Source organism: Homo sapiens, chromosome 12, assembly GCF_000001405.40.
Source record: "Homo sapiens chromosome 12, GRCh38.p14 Primary Assembly".
Classification (NCBI taxonomy): Eukaryota; Metazoa; Chordata; class Mammalia; order Primates; family Hominidae; genus Homo; species Homo sapiens.
The window spans coordinates 119,533,851-119,555,091 of NC_000012.12; the positions used below are offsets into that span (position 1 = coordinate 119,533,851).

Genomic DNA, 21,241 nt, shown 5'->3' on the forward strand with positions numbered 1-21,241 from the left:
GTGATGCCTCCAGCTTTGTTCTTTTTGCTTAGGATTGACTTGACAATACGGGCTCTTTTTTGGTTCCATATGAATTTTAAAGTAGTTTTTTCCAATTTTGTGAAGAAAGTCATTGGTAGCTTGATGGGGATAGCATTGAATCTATAAATTACCTTGGGGAGTACGGCCATTTTCACAATATTGATTCTTCCTATCCATGAGCATGGAATATTTTTCCATTTGTTTGTGTCCTCTTTTATTTCGTTGAGCAGTGGTTTGTAGTTCTCCTTGAAGAGGTCCTTCACATCCCTTGTAAGTTGGTTTCCTAGGTATTTTATTCTCTTTGTAGCAATTGTGAATGGGAGTTCACCCATGATTTGGCTCTCTGTCTGTTATTGGTATATAGGAATGCTTGTGATTTTTCCACATTGATTTTGTATCTTGAGACTTTGCTGAAGTTGCTTATCAGCTTAAGGAGATTTTGGGCTGAGACAATGGGGTTTTCTAAATATACAATCATGTCATCTGCAAATAGGGACATTTTGACTTCCTCTTTTCCTAAGTGAATACCCTTTATTTCTTTCTCTTGCCTGATTGACCTGGCCAGAACTTCCAACACTATGTTGAATAGGAGTGGTGAGAGACGGCATCCCTGTCTTGTGCCAGTTTTCAAAAGGAATGCTTCCCGTTTTTGCCCATTCAGTATGATATTGGCTGTGGGTTTGTCATAAATAGCTCTCATTATTTTGAGATACATTCCATCAATACATAGTTTATTGAGAGTTTTTAGCATGAAGGGCTGTTGAATTTTGTCAAAGGCCTTTTCTGCATCTATTGAGATAATCATGTGGTTTTTGTCGATGGTTCTGTTTATGTGATGGATTACGTTTATTGATTTGCATATGTTGAACCAGCCTTGCATCCCAGGGATGAAGCTGACTTGATCGTGGTGGATAAGCTTTTTGATTTGCTGCTGGACTCGGTTTGCCAGTATTTTATTGAGGACTTTCACATCGATGTTCATCAGGGATATTGGTCTAAAAATTCTCTTTTTTTGTTTTGTCTCTGTCAGGCTTTGGTATCAGGATGATGTTGGCCTCATAAAATGAGTTGGGGAGGATTCCCTCTTTTTCTATTGACTGGAATAGTTTCAGAAGGAATGGTACCAGCTCCTCTTTGTACCTCTGGTAGAATTTGGCTGTGAATCCGTATGGTCCTGGACTTTTTTTCTTGGTAGGCTATTAATTACTGCCTCAATTTCAGAGCCTGTTATCAGTCTATTCAGATTCAATTTCTTCCTGGTTTAGTCTTGACAGGGTGTATGTGTCCAGGAATTTATCCATTTTTTCTAGATCTTCTAGTTTATTTGCGCAGAGGTGTTTATGGTATTCTCTGATGGTAGTTTGTATTTCTGTGGGATCAGTGGTGATATTCCCTTTATCATTTTTTATTGCGTCTATTTGATTCTTCTCTCTTTTCTTCTTTGTTACTCTTGCTAGCAGTCTATCAATTTTGTTGATCTTTTCAAAAAACCAGCTCCTGGATTCATTGATTATTTGAAGGGTTTTTTGTGTCTCTATCTCCTTCAGTTCTGCTCTAATCTTAGTTATTTCTTGTCTTCTGCTAGTTTTGAATTTGTTTGCTCTTGCTTGTCTAGTTCTTTTCATTGTGATGTTAGGGTGTTGATTTTAGATCTTTCTTGCCTTCTCTTGTGGGCATTTAGTGCTATAAATTTTCCCTCTACACACTGCTTTAAGTGTGTCCCAGAGATTCAGGCACCTTGTGTCTTTGTTTTCATTGGTTTCAAAGAACATCTTTATTTCTGCCTTCATTTCGTTATGTACCCAGTAGTCATTCAGGAGCAGGATGTTCAGTTTCCATGTAGTTGTGCAGTTTTGAGTGAGTTTCTTAATCCTGAATTCTAATTTGATTGCACTGTGGTCTGAGAGACAGTTTGTTATAATTTCTGCTCTTTTACATTTGCTGAGGAGTGCTTTCCTTCCAACTATGTGGTCAGTTTTGGAATAAGTGCGATGTGGTGCTAAGAAGAATGTCTATTCTGTTGATTTGGGGTGGAGAGTTCTGTAGATGTCTATTAGGTCTGCTTGGTGCAGAGCTGAGTTCAAGTCCTGGATATCCTTGTTAAACTTCTGTCTCCTTGATCTGTCTAATATTGACAGTGGGGTGTTAAAGTCTCCCATTATTATTGTGTAGGAGTCTAAGTCTCTTTGTAGGTCTCTAAGGCCTTGCTTTTTGAATCTGGGTGCTCCTGTATTTGGTGCATCTATATTTAGGATAGTTAGCTCTTCCTGTTGAATTGATCCCTTTACCATTATGTAATGGCCTTCTTTGTCTCTTTTGATCTTTGTTGATTTGAAGTCTGTTTTATCAGAGACTAGAATTGCAACCCCTCCATTTTTTGCTTTCCATTTGCTTGGTACATCTTCCTCCATCCCTTTATTTTGAGCCTATGTGTGTCTCTGCACGTGAGATGGGTCTACTGAATACAGCATAGTGATGGATCTTGACTCTTCATCCAATTTGCCAGTCTGTGTCTTTTAATTGGGGTATTTAGCCCATTTACGTTTAAGGTTAATATTGCTATGTGTGAATTTGATCCCGTCATTATGATGTTAGCTGGTTATTTTGCCCATTAGCTGATGCAGTTTCTTCCTAGCATCGATGGTCTTTACAATTTGGCATGTTTTTGCAGTGGCTGGTACCGGTTGTTCCTTTTTATGTTTAGTGCTTCCTTCAGGCACTGTTGTAAGGCAGGCCTGGTGGTGACAAAAATCTCTCACCATTTGCTTGTCTGTAAAGGATTTTATTTCTCCTTCACTTATGAAGCTTAGTTTGGCTGGATATGAAATTCTGGGTTGAAAATCCTTTTCTTTAAGAATGCTGAATATTGGCCCTTACTCTCTTCTGGCTTGTAGAGTTTCTGCTGAGAGATCCACTGTTAGTCTGATGGGCTTCCTTTGTGGGTAACCTGAACTTTCTGACTGCCCTTAACATTTTTTCCTTCATTTCAACCTTGGTAAATCTGACAATTATGTGTCTTGGGCTTGCTCTTCTCAAGGAGTATCTTTGTGGTGTTCTCTGTATTTTGTGAATTTGAATGTTGGCCTGCCTTGCTCGGTTGGGGAAGTTCTCCTGGATAATATCCTGCAGAATATTTTCCAACTTGGTTCCATTCTCCCCATCACTTTCAGGTACACCAATCAAACATAGTTTTGGTCTTTTCACATAGTCCCATATGTCTTGGAGGCTTTGTTCATTTCTTTTTACTCTTTTCTCTAAACTTCTCTTCTCACTTTATTTCATTAATTTGATCTTCAACCACTGATACCCTTTCTTCCACTAGATTGAATCGGCTACTGAAGCTTGTGAATTCTTCACGTAGTTCTTGTGCCTTGGTTTTCAGCTCCATCAGGTCATTTAAGGTCTTCTCTTCACTGTTTATTCTAGTTCGCCATTCGTCTAATCTTTTTTCAAGGTTTTTAGCTTCCTTGCAATGGGTTCAAACATCCTCCTTTAGCTTGGAGAAGTTTGTTATTACCGACCTTCTGAAGCCTACTTCTGTCAGCTCGTCAAAGTCATTCTCCATCCCGCTTTGTTCCATTGCTGGCAAGGAGTTGCGATCCTTTGGAGGAGAAGAGGTGCTCCAGTTTTTAGAATTTTCAGCTTTTCTGCTCTGGTTTCTCCCCACCTTTGTGGTTTTATCTACCTTTGGTCTTTGTTGGTGGTGACCTACAGATGGGGTTTTGGTGTGGATGTCCTTTTTGTTGATGTTGATGCTATTCCTTTCTGTTTGTTAGTTTTCCGTCTCACAGTCAGGTCTCTCAGCTGCAGGTCTGTTGGAGTTTGCTGGAGGTCCACTCCAGACCCTGTTTGCCTGGGTATCACCAGCGGAGGCTGTAGAACAGCAAATATTGCTGCTAGATCCTTCCTCTGGAAGCTTCGTCCCAAAGGGGCGCCCGCCTGTATGAGGTGTCAGTTGGCCCCTACTGGGAGGTGTCTCCCAGTGAAGCTACATGGGGGTCAGGGACCCACTTGAGGAGGCAGTCTGTCTGTTCTCAGAGCTCAAACATCATGCTGGGAGAACCAGTACTCTCTTCAGAGCTGTCAGACAGGGACGTTTAAGTCTGCAGAAGTATCTGCTGCCTTTTGTTCAGCTATGCCCTGCCCCCAGAGGTGGAATCTACAGAGGCAACAGGCCTTGCTGAGCTGTGGTGGACTCCACCCAGTTCGAGCTTCCACGGCCACTTTGTTTACCTACTCAAGCCTCAGCAATGGCGGATGCCCCTCCCCCTGCCAGGCTGCTGCCTCACAGGTTGATCTCAGACTGCTGCACTAGCAGTGAGCAATGCTCCATGGGCATGGGACCTGCCGAGCCAGGCGCATATAATTTCCTGGTGTGCCATTTCCTAAGACCATTGGAAAAGCACAGTATTTGGGCAGAAGTGTCCTGATTTTCCAGGTACAGTCTGTCCCGGCTTCCCTTGGCTAGGAAAGGGAAAACCCCCAACCCCTTGCACTTCCTGGGTGAGGCGATACCCTGCCCTGTTTCGGCTTGCCCTCCATGGGCTGCACCCACTTTCCAACCAGTCCCAATGAGATGAACCAGGTACCTCAGTTGGAAATGCAGAAATCACCTGTCTTCTGCATCGATCATGCTGGGAGCTGCAGACTGGAGCTGTTCCTATTCGGCCATCTTGGAACAGACTCCTAAACTGGTTATTCTAGTTAGCAATTCCTCTAACCTTTTTTAGAGGTTCTTGGCTTCCTTGCATTGGGTTAGAACATGCTCCTTTAGCTCAGAGGAGTTTGTTATCATCCATCTTCTGAAGCCTACTTCTGTCAATTTGTCAAACTCATTCTCTGCCCAGTTTTGTTCCCTTGCTGGTGAGGAACTGTGATCCTTTGGAGGAGAAGAAGCGTTCTGGTTTTGGGAATTTTCAGCCTTTTTGTGCTGGTTTTTCCTCATCTTCATGGATTTATCTACTTTTGGTCTCTGATGTTGGTGACCATCACATGGGGTTTTTGTGTGGATGTGCTTTTTGTTGATGTTGATGCTATTCCTTTCTGTTTGTTAGTTTTCCTTCTAACAGTCAGCCCCCTCTGCTTCAGGTCTGCTGGAGTTTGCTGGAGGTCCACTCCAGACCCTGTTTTCCTGGGTATCACCAGTGGAGGCTGCAGAACAGCAAAGATTGCTGCCTGTTCCTTCCTCTGGAAGCTTCATCTCAGAGGGGCACCAGCCTGATGCCAGCCAGAGCTCTCCCATATGAGGTGTCTGTCAACCCCTCCTGGGAGGTGTCTCCCAGTCAGGAGACATGGCGGTCAGGGACCCACTTGAGGCAGTCTGTCCTTTAGCAGAGCTTGAGCGCTGTGCTGGGAGATCCACTGCTCTCTTCAGAGCCGGCAGGCAGGAATGTTTAAGTCTGCTGAAGCTGCACCCACAACCGCCCCTTCTCCCAGGTGCTCTGTCCCAGGGAGATGGGAGTTTTATCTATAAGTCCCTGACTGGGGCTGCTGCCTTTCTTTCAGAGATGCCCTGCCCAGAAAGGAGGAATCTAGAGAGGCAGTTTGGCTACAGTGGCTTTGCTGTGGGCTCTGCCCAGTTTGAACTTTCTGGTGGCTTTGTTTACACTGTGAGGGGAAAACTGCCTACCCAAACCTCCATAATGGCGGACGTCCCTCCCCCCACCAAACTCCAACAACCCACGTCGACTTCAGACTGCTGTGCTGGCGGCAGGAATTTCAAGCCAGTGGATCTTAGCTTGCTGGGCTCCGTGGAAGTGGGATCCAGTGAGCTAGACCACTTGGCTCCCTGGCTTCAGCCCCCTTTCCAGGGGAGTGGCAGTTGTCTCTCACTGGCATTCCAGGTGCCACAGGGGTATAAGAAAAAAACTCCTGCAGCTAGCTTGGTGTCTGCCCAAATGGCCACCCAGTTTTGTGCTTAAAACCCAGGGTCCTGGTTGTGTAGGCACCCAAGGGAATCTCCTGGTCTGCGGGTTGTGGAGACCATGGGAAAAGCGTAGTATCTGGGCCAGAATGCACTGTTCCTCACAGCACAGTCCCTCACAGCTTCCCTTGGCTAGGGGAGAGAATTATCTGACCCCTTGTGCTTCCTGGGTGAGGCAACACCCCACCCTGCTTCAGCTTGCCCTCTGTGCTGCACCCACTGTCTAACCAGTCCCAATGAGATGAGCCAGGTACCTCAGCTGGAAATGCAGAAATCACCCACCTTCTGTGTTGATCTCACTGGGAGCTGCAGACTGGAGCTGTTCCTATTCAGCCGTCTTGCTAGCCACCCAACATCACAGAATTTCTAATAATCTGGATGTGGGGGTCTACATGAAACTCTTCCTTTTGTGTGTCTTAAACCCTTTCCAGGAAATTAAGCCCATAGCTGTCATCAATTCTGAAACGGATTTACAAACCAAAAACGTTTAACAACAAATGACTGTTTGAAAAGATATTAAGGAGTAGAAAAGAAAGAAAAATGCAGATAGCTGGGACTTCCTGTCCTCCCCAAATTTCCTTGCATCGATAGCAACAAGAAGGGGCTTAACATTAGCCTGCTGAGCCAGGAAGCTGGAAAGGGGTCCTCTTCACCAAAGGACCACCCCAATCTGATGCTCCAAGATTATGAATGCCCAAATGGTATTCCTGGGGCCACCAGTCTCAGTCACAAATCTTCCAGGATCTTGAGGGGAGGGAGAGAAGGTGGAGTCTACTTTTCAGAGCAAATTCTGAGATTGCCACTATGTCTGCCTCACAGTTTGTGCGAGAACACATCATCCATATGCCTCAAGAGGATTACATCAGCTGGCTGCAGAGCCGGATCAACATACCCATTGGGCCCTACAGCGCCCTGAGGTAGGCTGGGCCTGGGTTGACCAGCTGTCTCAGTGGAGGAGTGTTTGCCTATATCATGTTCCTGTATCCTGCCTGTGTTCCTGCCTCCTGACTACCCTCATGGATGCTCTTTATGGATGACCCTTTACAGTAGGGTCATCTGGAGACTGACTTCCAGCAACATTTTTAGAGGGGGATGGCCCCGGTGGCCCTCCCCTCAATTCCACACCCCAGACCCAACCTACCAGTCTCTGTTCTTCAATGATCCAGCCTGACTCTACCTACTTCCTCTTCAGATTCCTTCACCCTATTTACCTTCCTCAAGTACTGGAGAATAAAATTGAACTGAATGTTTGATGTCTGTCTGGGAAAGAGCTGGGGCCATGGAATTCAGGTGTGGTATTTAGATCCTAATAACAATAGTTACTATTTATTGAGTTTCTATTATGCAATAGATCCAGTGCTGAGTGCTTTACCTAGATAATGTTATTTCAATCTCATGATAACTTGGTTAAGTAGGCACTGATATTAACTTAATTTCACACCGATTAAGCTACAGCATATTTATCAATATTATATATATATTGCTTTGGATGGATGGTTGGGTGGGTGGGTGGGTGGACGGATGGGCAGATGGGTGGATGGGTGGGTGGGTAGATGTATGTATGGATGGATGGATGGATGGATGGATGGATGGATGGTTTGCATAGTTGCATGGTTGGATGGTTGCATGGTTGGATGAATGGATGGATGGATGAATGAATGGATGGTGGATGGATGGATGGATGGATGGATAGATGGATGGATGAATGATGGATGGATGAATGGACAGATGGCACATTCCCCAACAAGGCAATGGTATGCAAAAAAATTTTAGCCTTGAATCCTCGTATATTTTCTGTGGGTCTTAGTTATAGAAAGAAGCTTATCTTCCTGTCATCTCAAAATGTGTGTAGACTCTCATAACCTCTTCTCTCATATTGGTCTTATGCTCACCTACATTCTCACTAAGTTATAGGAACTGTAGGCATTTTAACTCCCTTAGTGATGGCCACACTGAATTAAAAATTGGACAACTGGACTTGATTTGCTCTTGTGCCTGGATTATCAGAGCATTTATGTAGACTAGGCTTGAATCTCTCCCTCTGGCAATCTAAAAGTAGGAAGGAGAGTTAAATTTGAATTATTCTTTAGTCTAAGCAATCTTACACTCATCCATTCACCTATTCAGTCATTTATTCATTTAATGAATATTTATTAAGAGCCCAATATGCACCAACCAAGTTCTAGGTGTTAAGGATACAGCAATGAACAAGGCAGACAAGGTCTCTGTTCTCATGGAGTTTGCCATTTTTTAAAATTTCTTCTTTTTTGACACATGGTCCAAGATGAGATCATGGAGTTCACATAAAAACAGAGAAGTCAATAAAATGCGACAGGGAGGTCAGAGGCATTATGTAACATCCCATGTCCCTCCACAGAGATACCCTATGTTTAACAGTAAACCTTGAAAAGCTATTTGGGGTGCAAAGGTAAGATACACTCCACAGAGAAACTACAAAATTAAGAGACCCTACAGGTCTCTGTATTAAATAGGAATTCGAGTGAGGGAGGAGCAGAGAAGTAAGAGGGAGCTGCCAATAAAGAAGAAGAAAAAGGACAAAGGAGGTAGAGGAGGAAAAGGGAGCTGAGTAACAGGAGCGTGAGAAGGGACTTCAGGAGAAAACCAATCAGGGGGATAAAACAGGGCAGGGCTGGCTGGTGGATCCCTAAGAACTACAATGCAAACCAACCCTCTTCATCCCTCTGGACCTTTAGTAGTTTCTGTTACATACCCAACTGTCTTCTGTGAGCCATGTTTTGAAGAAATAAAGAAAAGGCGCTGTGTTCTACATCTGGGCTGCTTGGGGGCAAAAAAAAGAGCTTGAGGTACTCAGACCCTCAACACAATAAAGAGTTCAGGGCCTGGCAAGGTGGCTCAGGCCTGTAATGCCAGTGTTTTGGGAGGCCAAGGTGAAAGAATCCTTTGAGGCCAGGAATTCAACACCAGCCTGGGCAACATAGTGAGACCCCATTTCTACAGAATATAATTGTTCTTAAAATTAGCTGGTGGAGTTCGAGACCAGCCTGGCCAATATGGTGAAACCCTGTCTCTACTAAAAATATAAATAAATAGCCAGGCATGGTGGCACGCCCCCGTAGTCTCAGCTACTCAGGAGGCTGAGGCAGGAGAATCGCTTGAACCCGGAGGCTGAGGTTGCAGTGAGCCAAGATCGCACCACTGTACTCCGGCTTGGGCGACAAAATTAAACTCCGTCTCAAAAAAAAAAAAAAAAAAAAAAAAAAAAAAAAAAAGCTGGTGGCACCATCTGTAGTCCCAGCTACTCGGAAGGCTGAGGCAGGAGGATCCCTTGAGCCCAGGAGGTCAAGACTGCAGTGAGCCATGATCATGCCACTGTACCCCAGCCTGAGCAACAGAGCGAGATCCTGTCTCAAAAATGAAAGAGTACAGTAGGAACAGGAAGTCAAAGTTAGAGAGACTACTATTACATGAGCTCTCTAGGTTTATAGAAATCTTAAACGGACATTTGGCTTCTCACTAGACATGGGACAGGAACCCAGCCAAATTGATGTATATCTCAAATGTCAGGTGACCATCACAGCTGACATTTAATTACACAAGATAATCAGTGCAATGGTGCCAAATTAAAGCAAGCACAAAAAGGTCCCAGTGGACATGAGGGAGGGGAGGACTAACTCATACCTGAGACGTCAGGAAAGGCTTTTGAGAAGAGGTGATTGATACCTGTAAGTTGAGCTAGAGTTAGCCAGAGAGAGATGGGTAGGCAGATAAGGAGGGAAGAAAGAATGTTCCAGGCAGAAGGAACAGCATGTGCAAAGGCCGAGAGGAAAAAAAGCTTAATTTGTCATTTGAGGACCTAAACGTAAGTCCAGCTGGGCCATATTTCGAATTGGGAGTGCAAGACAGAGAAAGGGAGGAGGGGGGTTGGGGAGGGAAGTAGAAGCCAGATCTTTCAGATGCCTTATAAGCCATGTTAGGAAGTTTGGGCTTTATCTGCCTGGAAATAGGAATCCATGGAAGGATTTTGAGGAAGGGAATAATTGCATTTGCTTTCAAGGGAGAAAAATGGCACTCACAAGGAACAAGGAGCTAAGATGAGGCTATGGCAATGATTGTGGGGAGAACAGCGGTGGTGGAGAAGGGGTGAAGACATTCATTGGAAAGATATCTAAACAGAAGAATCAACAGAACTTGGTGTGATGGATTATAAGTAAGGGGTGGGAGGGCAGGAATATCAGGAATCACGAGTGGAAGGTGATGCCTTAAATGTACCAGGAGAACAGGAAGAAAAGAAATTCATAATGAGAAGGTGAGGAGTTATGTTTTAAGCATATTGAGTTGGAGATGCCTGAGGGACAGTCAGGTGGGGGGATGCATAACTCAGGAAAGGAGGTTGCACTGGAGACGGAAACATAGCAGCAACATCCCACAGGTCAAGACGGTCAAAGGAAGAAATGGGAAGAGAGGCAAGAAGAGGAGAGGAGAGAGGGGTCTTGAGGACAGAATAACGAAAAGCATCAAGAAGCCTACTCAGAAAATAACATTTACTGACTGGACGCAGTGGCTCAAGCTTGTGATCCCAGCATTTTGGGAGGCCAAGGTGGGCGGATCACCTGATGTCAGGAGTTCAAGACCAGCGTGACCAACATGGTGAAACCCAGTCTCTATTAAAAATACAAAAATTAGCCAGGTGTGGTGGTGCATGCCTGTAATCTCAGGTACTCAGGAGGCTGAGGCAGGAGAATCACTTGAACCCGGGAGGTAGAGGTTACAGTGAGCCAAAATCATGGCATTGCACTCCAGCCTGGGTGACAGCGTGAGACTCTGTCTCAAAAGAAATTAAAAAAAAATTTTAAATAACATTTACTGAAGGGCTGCTTAGTTCCAGACCTCATGCAAAATGCTTGGCATATATGATCTCATTCCATCTTCACAAGCCTGCAAAGAAGGGCTCTTATATCCTCCTGTTTTGCAGATGATGGAATAGAGACTCTGAGAAATGTTTTGTACGCATGTCCAGCTGACTATGAACCCCCTCCCCATCCCTACCCTCCGACCTCCAGCCCCCTCTGCTATGAAACAAGGAGGTCACGAGAGTTATTGCGCTTTTGGAATTGAGCTCATCTAATGAGGAGGCTTTCATGAATTGTATTAGCTCACATTTGTACTGTATTCCACTGTTTCCAGAGTGCCTTCTCCAGTATTATCTTATTCGATGCTCACAGCATCCCTCTGAGGTGGGCATTATTATAATCCCCATTTTGCAAAGAAGGATATCGAGACTTAAGATTGTCCAATAGTCACATAGCAGGTAAGTGGGAGAGCCAAGTCTAAATTGAAGTCTGTCTGTCCCAGTCAGGGGCAATCTGAAATTGCAAGACTCACTCCGCCCTCCCGCTTGGCAGTTTCTGAGCCTGTTTCTCATAGCTGTAGCTCCATCTAGTGGCCTTTGTCAGTATTACTCTCCCACCCTGCCCTCCAGCAGAATGTCACTTTCCTGCCAAAAAAAAATGCAAGTATTAAACAGCAGCAACAAGACCTCTTCTGCTTAGACAAAGAGTGTTTACTCAAACAAAGGAAGACCTTTTACTACTAAAATAGACTGGGGACCAGGACAAGGCAACACATCCCCTCCCAGCTTCCAGGTTCTAAGAAGAGCCACAGGAAGAAATTTTTTTGCTTGTTAGCCTCTCCATCATAATCTTAATTGAACACCTACTAGGTGTTGGGTCCCCAGAAGTCACTGTCCCACAGCTCTGACCAAGCCATCTAAGTGGTTAACATGAGAGCTTTTTAAACTATATGTGCGCTAGAGAAGCTTTTTTCTGTAAAGGACTGGATATTAAATATCTGTTGCATGTTCTTTTTATTTATATAGTCCTTTAAAGGTGTGAAAACTGTTTTTTTACACCTTTAAACTTTTAACTGTAAATTAGAGGTCACACAAAAAGAGACCATAGACCAGATTGGGGCCGTCAGTCATCGTTTGCTGATCCCGCTTGAGGATAAATTTAAGAGTGAAGAGGAATGTTCTAGTCTTCCCCAAAAAACAGAGACAGGGAGGACTGGTGAACGTAATATGGTAAATATGTAGATGAACGGGGGGTTGGCACTACTCAGAATAGTTTTTGTCATTTTTGTGGAAAAGGAATGTATGCATGGGGTAAAAATCTTAACAGTGCAAAAGGATCTCCACTAAGTAGTGAGTATTCCTCCCCCTCCAACTCTCAGACCCCCATTCCGGTTTACAGAGGCACTCACACTGTATCCAGTAACTTGTATTACTTTCCAGGGATATTCTTCACATGTATAAGCAAAACATTTTTAATTAATTAACTAAAATGAAGCATTCATTGCGTGCTTACTGTATACCACGCATTGTTCTAAGTGCTTCGCATTCAATTATAGTTTATCCTCACCACAGTTTCATGAGGTAGATATCACTCTGACCCCCACTTTGTTGTGGAGGAAACTGGTGTTGTGGAGGAAAGTTGGGAAACCTGCCCAAAGCTACATAATTGGGGTAGGTAACCTTTTTTCTTTTTAACAGACATAGTGAGCTTCGTATACAAACTTCTGCATTAATTTGCTATGTTGGTGGTCATTTCACTTCCTATCTTCCTACTTTATATGAAGGAGGAAAGAGGCTGAAGGTTCACACCAGTGCATTAAAACCAATACCCAGACTCTTGTCACCACCCTGCCTTGGCATTTCATTTAAAGGTTTGCAGGTAAGGGAGGAACTGGACCAAAAGCTATGACCAATTGTAAAGAATGATATCAAAATAAAAGCCCAAGCTAATGTTAAAACAACACCTGCATCACTTCCTCTTTACCCAATACTGCTCATTTCAGTCCCTGAGCTTCACCTGCATGGCTGAGGTTGAGTGTCCTTCCCTGTTTTGGGATCTGGAGGTAGCCAGGGGAAGTCAGATAAAGATAATGTAGAGTAAGAATTTAATAAACATGAAAATTTTCTAAGTGCCTTATGCTAGGCACTATGTAATTCATATGCATTTGCTGGTTGATTCCTTGTAATTATCCTGTGAAGCTAGCATTATTATGCTTATTCACATTTACAGATGACAGAAAATTGAAGCTAAAGGAGGTGAAGTGGCTTGCCCAAGTCACACGCCTTCAAGCAATTAATCAAGAGTTCAAATCGTGGTCGTCTTGAAATTTTGCAATATTGCTTTAACCACATTACACTGCCTCTCTACTTAAAGGATCTTGTCTTGGGGTTCAAATTGGTCATCTTTTGGGGGGAATCAGAGCTCGAGCTTTAGTGATAATAAAATTTAGAAACCATTTACATTTTTGAAGGGTGTTCACATCCATTAGCACCATGTGATCTTCAAAGCAATCCTCTGAGATGTGCAAAGCAAATCTCACCCACATTTTGAAGACATGACACACCAAGTAATTTGAGATTTGGGTCTGGCTATTTAACTCTGTAGCTTTCTCCACCACACTACCCTGGGGCAAAGGAACCACACTAGTGAAAAGTGGAGAGGGCACAAATTCCTTTCTGGCCTAGTCTCAAAATAGCTCTGAATTTTTTTATGTTTGTTTACTTATTATCTGTCTTCCCAACTAGATTTAGCCTTCATGAGGGCAAGGACTACATCTGCTTTATTTGTTATTGTATTCCCAGAATTTCTCATAACATTTCTGGCATCAACTGAATGGATGGATGGATGGATGGATGGATGGATGGATGGATGGATGGATGCATGGATGCATGGATGCATGGATGGATGGATGGATGGATGGATGCATGGATGGATGGATGCATGGATGGATGAACAGTTGAGTGGATAAATGGATGAATACTTGAGTGCATGGATGGATAGATGGATGGATGGATGGATGGATGGACGGACGGATGACTGAGAGAAACTAAAAGAAGCCATCATCAGGGTTAGACTCATCAGGATTCCTCAGATCCCCACTGCCTTCTAGGAAATAAAGATGTCCAGGAGGCTGGCTTAGATGTGAGACTGCCCATCCTGGCAAAGGTGGAGCCTGATAGTATAAAAAATAAGCTCACAGCTCAGTGTCCTAAGGCCAGCACAAACAGTTCCCTCAATGACCCAACAGGTTGGCGAGAATAGAGCTGAGGCATTCCTTTGACCTTAGACTTTTAAAAGTAAAAAGTCTACTTTCAGAGCTTGGGGCAGGTTTTCTATTACACATCACAGAGCTAGTCCCTTCCATCACATGACTTAAGCCAGAAATACCCCCATCCTTTGTCCCAATTCACTTTTAATGTTCTGATGAAAAGTCTCTCCCGCTTGCCTTTTGGGATTATATCTATCACCACGGATGCTATTCAACAGCCATTTCCCATTCTTCTTTTGCTAGGAGTCCTGATTTTGTTCAAGTGTCTACCCCTTCCCATGTGAATCAGGATAAATTTTGATTGGTCTAAATCTATATTGGCAATTCCATTCCCCATGCTAGGGTTAATTTATAGGTGGTCATGTTACCCCAGGTTTGCAAGGGGAAGCTCCTGAGAAAGGTTTGTTTCTTCTTAAAACAAACACAGAGGAGGCCGGGCACAATGGCTCATGCAATCACTTAATCCCAGCACTTAGGGAGGCCAAGGCAGGTGGATCACCTGAGGTCAGAAGTTCGAGACCAGCCCAGCCAACCTGGTGAAACCCCATCGCTACTAAAAATACAAAAATTAGCTGGGTGTGGTGGGCACCTGTAATCCCAGCTACTCAGGAGGCTGAGGCAGGAGAATCACTTGAACCCGGGAGGCGGAGGTTGCAGTGAGCCGAGATCACGCCATTGCACTTCAGCGTGGGTGACAGAACAAGACTCTATCTCAAAAAAAAAAAAAAAAAAAAAACACAGAGCACAGAGGAAAACAGTCCTTTCCCGGAACTTATCGTGTCTTCACTAAATTGTGCAGGCACCTTGCTGCCAACAAGGGGCAGATTCAAGAGAATCACCTTGGCTGGAACATTTTGAAGTGAGTTGATACAACCTTCATTGCCCAAAGCAGCTGAGTCTGGGTTTTCTGCTACTTGAAGCTGAAAATACTCAGTTGCATAAACCAATAACAATATCATTCTCACGCCTCGCCCTTAACTAACATCTGCTCTTTTGATAGCTGTTTGAATGATAGCTCCCTCGTCTGCAAATCTCAGAGAAAGCCTTTGACTCTTTCAAGCAAGATGTCATCATGCCAAAGAGAACCCAGATTTGTTATACTTGGAACTCCACAAAAAGGCTGCAGTGTGCCTTGCAAATGGCAACATTAACTCTGCTAAAACCTTCCCAAAGATGTGAAACTCAGGGGTCACTAAGGAGCTGGGGGTAAGGCAGAGAACATATGACACAGTACAAAGCCCTTCACAAGGCAGAGACATCTTCATCCCCAAAGTCAAAATAATCTAGGAACAGGGGTGAAAATGAAAAACTGGTGACGGGGGAAGATTTTCAACAATCATTTTAAGGTGTTCACGGGAACAGGGGTGGGAAGGAGGTGAAGAATAGTGTATATTGATTAGATGGTAAGTCCTGGAGGTAACAAGTGGGAGAAGGGGACTGAAAGAAGAAGGGCTGCAGTTTGACAGGTGGAGGTAGGAAACTCATAGAATGTTTGCGCCAGGTGAGACCTTGTCATCAACCTGAGCTTGCATATCATTGAGCACCTACCATGCTCCAGGCTATTTGAGAGACGCCAGAGGTATAAAGAGAGCCTGTGTCCTCCAAAGGTTAAATAGTGGTGTTATACTGTGATGGTTAAAACAGAATGTTCAGGTGTCAGACTGAGAAAGTTCAGATCCTAGTTGTGTTGTCATTGGCTGTATGACCTTGAGAGGTATCTTCACTTCTATATATCTCATCTGTAAAATGAGAACACCACTAAAGAGTCAATGAGATAGCCTGGGCCAGTCTTGGTGGCTCACGCCTGTAATCCCAACACTATGGGAGGCCAAGGTGGGCAGATCACTTGAGGTCAGGAGTTCGAGACCACCAGCCTGGCCAACATGGGGAAACTCCTCTCTACTAAAAATATAAAAATTAGCCAGGAGTGGTGGCAGGCACCTGTTATCCCAGCTACTCTGGAGGCTGAGGCAGAAGAATCGCTTGAACCCGGGAGACAGAGGTTGTAGTGAGCCGAGATCACGCCACTGCACTCCAGCCTGTTTGACAGAGTGAGACTCCATCTCAAAAAAAAAAAAATTCAGTGAAATAGGCTGTGTAAAGCATCCAGCTTACAGTAAAGACTCAATACAACTCAGCTATGACAACAATGGCAGAGAAAGATGGAGCACACAGAAAGCCACCACCGGAGTCTGGCAAGTCAAAAAAGGTACATCAGCCAAAGTCTTTATATGCAAGCAATAGAATCTGATTCTGGCTAATTTAACTCTGAGTCTTTACATTACTGCCTCTGAAAACATAAAAATCCGATCGCAAAGCCTAAGTCACATGATCATATCCTAGTTGACAAAAAAAGCTGAGAAAGCAAGTATCTGGATTGTTTGACTTTCATAATAGGAGAAATATTAATCTCATAGAGTGAAAGTTCCCCAAGAAAAGGAAAAGGACTGAGAAGCTACTCATAAAAAAACAAAAGTGTCCTCTAGAGAAGGCTTACTGGAAGAAGTAACAGCTGAGTTGAAACCAATCCACATCCTACATTTACCAATGAAGAAACTGAGACACAGAGGGGTGGACTCTTCCAAAGTCACTAGCTTTGGGAGGAAAAGAAAGAAGGGCTTGGAATAGGGGACAGTAGGGTTCAGGAGGAGACCCCAAAGGAGATCTCTGATGGGCTGAGGGAGGAAGAGGCTGAAAGCCTCAGCCAGAGTTGGTGTTGGGTCCAGAAGTGGTGGCAGCAGAGGAGACAGTGAATATTGGACGGTGTTAGTTTCCAGGCCTGGGAAGAGTTTGGGATCCAGCATAGAGGAGTGGTGTATCATAAGGAATTGGTTTGGTCTTTATCCCCAGTTTCTGGGAGGGAGCCTCTAAACCCTTAGAAGTTCCTGAGTGAGAAGAGTTTCTTTGTTATTCATAGTGGGCCCCACAGATCACCCCTGAGTTTATGCTAATGAGGTGATCCACAGTGGGTCCCTAGATAGTTTTTGGCTGGAAGCTGGTCATGCCAGAAAGACCAACAATGTGATTAGAGGGTTGGGGTTTTGAACCACGTTATATCCTTTCATCTTCCTATGCTCTGGGGACAGAAGGAGGGTTGGAGGTGGGGTTCAATCACATGGCCATTGATTCAACCAAGCATGTCTACATGATGAAGCCCTAATAAAAATTCTGAACATCCGACATTCCAGTGAGTTTCCCTATTCGATAATCATATATCGATATCCTGAAGACATGGAAATGCCACATCTTGGACCCTCCCAGACTTCACTCTGTGTCACTCTTCATTTGGATCATTTTGATTTATATCCTTTATAATAAAATTGTAATCATCTATATCATATTTTGTTGAGTTCTGTGGGTTGTTCTGTCTTATAAACAGATAAGAACTCAACAAAGTATGATATATATGATAGTGAATTAATGGACCAGAGGGGCTAGTGGGAACCCTCAAATTGTAGCCAGCTGGTCAAAAGTATAGGTGGCCTGGGACCACTATGAATGGTGTCTTAATTGAAGACATTCTTGTGTACCCTTAATCTGAAAGTTTTGACCTACCTCCGGATAGTTGGCGTCACAATTGCATAGCAAAATGAAAGCTGTAATTCAGGCAAAGGACTGTATTGTTCCAACCCTGTGGTTGAGCCTCTGTCAAGGAAAGTCCTCACTCAAAGGTGGAACACATGTGTAGCTTGTGTCTACCCACTCCCTCTTCTTTAGGCAGCAACCCCTTCCTCCTGACTCTCATTCATTGTGGATTGAGCAGTGCTTCAATCCAGTGCCAGGTGTGGGCATGTGACCAAGACCTGGATAATGCAAGCATGACATTTCCCTAATCATAGCAAATGGCTCAGGATGGACACCCAAAGTAATCCAATAAAGCTCAATTCCCGAACTTATGTTGGAACTGGAAGAGAGAACAAGAAGCCCTCTTTTTTCTGGAACTGTTAACACTAAGGATAAAACAAGCCTACAGCTTCTGGGAACCAACACACAGAGAGAAATTGCCAACAAAGGGAGGAAAACAAAGCCAAGAAATGCAGCAAAAGAGAGATCAAATATTGGTCGCATCATTCGGGCCCCTGGCTCTCTAGCCAGATCTTTGAACTTTTGGTTATGGTGGCTAACAGCTTCTCTTTCTTCGGAAGCCAGATTTAATTTGATTTCCTTCACTTGCAACAAACTGATTCCCAATTAATGCAGCAGGAGAAAGAAAAGAGATCTGTATATAAGCATAGTCAAATTCTAGACACCTCTTCCTCTAAGAGGGCGAGTGAGGTCGTAGAGAAAGGCACTGCTATGGGATATATCATGCAGGTAATGCTAAGACGAAATCCTGAGTTAAATTCACAACATCAATCAACAGAAAACGGAAAGACTAAGAACACAGATGTTTTATCACTCCGTTTTGCAGCAGGTGTGAAAGTGCCAATTTGGATTTAAAAGAGCATGAAACAAATGCAAGGTGGGGACTGTTATCAGAGCCAACCCTCATGTCTCTACCACTGTGAAAAGAGGCGCTGGGTAAGTATATTTCCTAGCTCAATGGTCTTCAAAGTGGAAGGGCTGCACAAGATGATCCATTAGGGAGCAGAAAAAAATATTAGAACTTATATTTATAGCTATCTTAGCAAAAGTCTATTTGAAGTTTTACGAGTAGTTTGGGTGTGGATTGACCCTGGCACCCTCATTCAGTCTATACTGAGAAAGAGACCACGTGTCTGGCATCAGGCAAGCTAAGAAACCCAGGAGAAGTTGGGCATTCCACAATATGAAAGGGATAATAGTGGCATTCTTGTCTTCTCATCCCGTGTTACTTCTGATAAGCTTCCAATGCCTCTTCTTTAAATCTCCTATTATTAATTCTAGAGCATCAAGGGTACCTATGAATTGGCATGCCTCTCTCTGTACCCCAGTGATGCTCTCAGATACTGAAAGATTAGTTATCTTCCCTTGCATTAAATGACCCCAGGCAACTGATATCCTAATTAACCCCTCCTCTATCTCCTCCTTGGTTCTCTAGCTTCTCTCCCAACAAAAGCGAGTTTGCCAAGAGAAACAGTGCACCTAACTTGTGCATAAAAAACTTAACTTTACATAGAGGTTTTTTTAAACATGCAATTTCCAGGTTAATGGGAGTCAAATGGCCAAGTGCCTAAATCAAGGAGCATGAAATAATGCTCTGCAATGTTCTTTAGTTCACCCCACAAACTGGCTGTTCTAAGCACATTCTAAATCTCTCTCTTTCTCCCCACCCTGACCCCATGATAAAAAAAGAGAGCTGAGGTTTCAAGGGATCAAAGAAACAGATCACCCACCCCAAACCATTTTTACTTGGGGTGACACAGAAACATCGCCATCCAAGTTTGCTAAAACAGCAGCTGGATCTCACTTGTAAGGCAGTTCCAATAGAGGAGGAAAGGGATACAAATTTACAAAGACAATAAATTTAACACCCTTTTCTCATTATTCCAGCACTTGTAAGAGGATTGCATTACAGGTCTAGCAACTCTAGGGCATCTGAAATGCGGTCTCATTTACAAACATTTTGTTTACACTGCATGATTTCATGAACCACTGATTGCATAAAGCAGGCCAACTGGCCTCCTCCTCTCATCTTCAATTTAATGCCATTTTACCTTTGCAGAAAACTCACCAATGAAGAACAGCAGACAGGTGAACAGGCTGGCCAGGAAGTGGGTCAGATGGTAATACATTTAGTCTTCTTTTCCTCTAGGGCTTCAGTTTCCCCATCTGTAAAATCAGAGAGCTAGATTATGAGGGTCCCAAATCTACATTTCAACCAAGACCAGGCAAGTAATACGAATGAATGGAAGGAATGGGGTCTAATATTATGTGCCGAATATTTGACAGGCACTGAGAGAGAAAGGTACTGGGAGCAGAAAGGGAGACAAGCCATGATCCTTGCTCTGGTGAAGCACTTGGCCTTGTGAGAGATGTGAGCACATAGGCAGCTACCGACAAATATGATAAAAGCTGTATTCAAGGTTCCATATGAATGCACAGGAGGGTTGGACTAATCCATCCCAGATGAATCCTCAAAGATTTTTTAAATAAACGAGAAGGCATCTGGGGGGAAGAGGAGTGTTGTAGGTGAAGAAGTGGAAAGAACAAGAGAACAGGAACGACCTTTCAGGTGGAGAAAACCGCCTGTGCAAAGTCACAGTGACCTGAAAAACAATTACGTATTCGGGGAGAAAAATGAAGTTTGATAGGGCTGGAAGGTCCCTATGTGAAGTTACAGAAAAATAACCTAAAAGGGTGAGTTGGAAATAAATCACAAAGAACCTTGAGGAATTTGTCTTGAGAGTAATAGGAAGCCAGGAATATGTTCTAAATTGTTGAGAAAACTGGTGACATTTCCATTTTAGAAAGTTTGGTCTGTCTGCAGGGTGGAGAATGGGTTAGAGCTGCACCATCTAATATGAGGGTCATTAGCCACGTGTGGCTACTGACCACTGGACACATGGCCATTCCAAATTGAGATGTGCTATGTAACTAAAAATAAAATCTTAAGCCCCCTGCCCCACTGACAGAACAGACCCCCTCTTGGCCAAAGAGACCCCCAGAAAAACCTTAAAAACTGAGTTCACGACAATGACAAGAACCGGAGGTCCAACACACCTCGTTATACCCCCTCTTTTGTGTAGTTTACAGACAACTGACCAGCGTTAATGTTAAAATAGAGATCACAAGACCGACAAAATGAACTCTTCGTAGTAATAAGATACCAAGTTATAAACAGGGCCTAAGGCCATGCCAGGAAAGGGTTAAGTCACACACTCCTTCACTTAAAGAATAAACTATATTCTAACTGCCACAAGGTTTTTCTTTTTCTCTAGCAGCTAAACAAGTGCTGGCCTTGAGATAAGCAGTGTTAAAACAACTGCAACGAACCAACCACCAGACACTGACTAACTGATCCTCCCCCGCACCGTTCCCTTTCCACCAGCCATAACTACAGCTTTGATTAGGCAAGAAATTGATTTCAATAACTTTCTCCTAATAAAAAAGACCACTGACCATGGACTGATTCTGGCCAGTTTACAGAGGCTGTGCACATGAGTGCCTTCGTTCTAAAAAGACCTTTTGACATATAGGATCTAATTATAATACATTTAAATATCAAGCCCCACCCCAAGGTGGGGTGATATGTCACATGTCACATGCATATTTGTT

At 43.7% G+C, this 21,241-nt stretch overlaps 1 protein-coding gene and 1 long non-coding RNA gene across 11 annotated transcripts in view; one reads left to right on the plus strand and one right to left on the minus strand.

The window, feature by feature from the left end:
• Positions 1-7,190, plus strand: part of CCDC60 (coiled-coil domain containing 60) — a 206,312-nt gene extending 199,122 nt beyond the window's left edge. For all 7 annotated transcript variants that reach the window (NM_178499.5, XM_017018912.3, XM_017018913.3 and 4 more), the window contains one exon: positions 6,764-7,190. In NM_178499.5, coding sequence (NP_848594.2) covers positions 6,764-6,865 — 102 coding nt within the window. In that variant the 3' untranslated portion in view covers positions 6,866-7,190. The remainder of the gene's footprint in view (positions 1-6,763) is intronic.
• PRKAB1-AS1 (PRKAB1, TMEM233 and CCDC60 antisense RNA 1) overlaps positions 1-21,241 on the minus strand; it is a 280,141-nt gene that overhangs the window by 145,864 nt on the left and 113,036 nt on the right. For all 4 annotated transcript variants that reach the window (NR_188494.1, NR_188492.1, NR_188490.1 and 1 more), the window contains exon 2: positions 19,698-19,795. This is a non-coding gene — a long non-coding RNA (PRKAB1, TMEM233 and CCDC60 antisense RNA 1). The remainder of the gene's footprint in view (positions 1-19,697; positions 19,796-21,241) is intronic.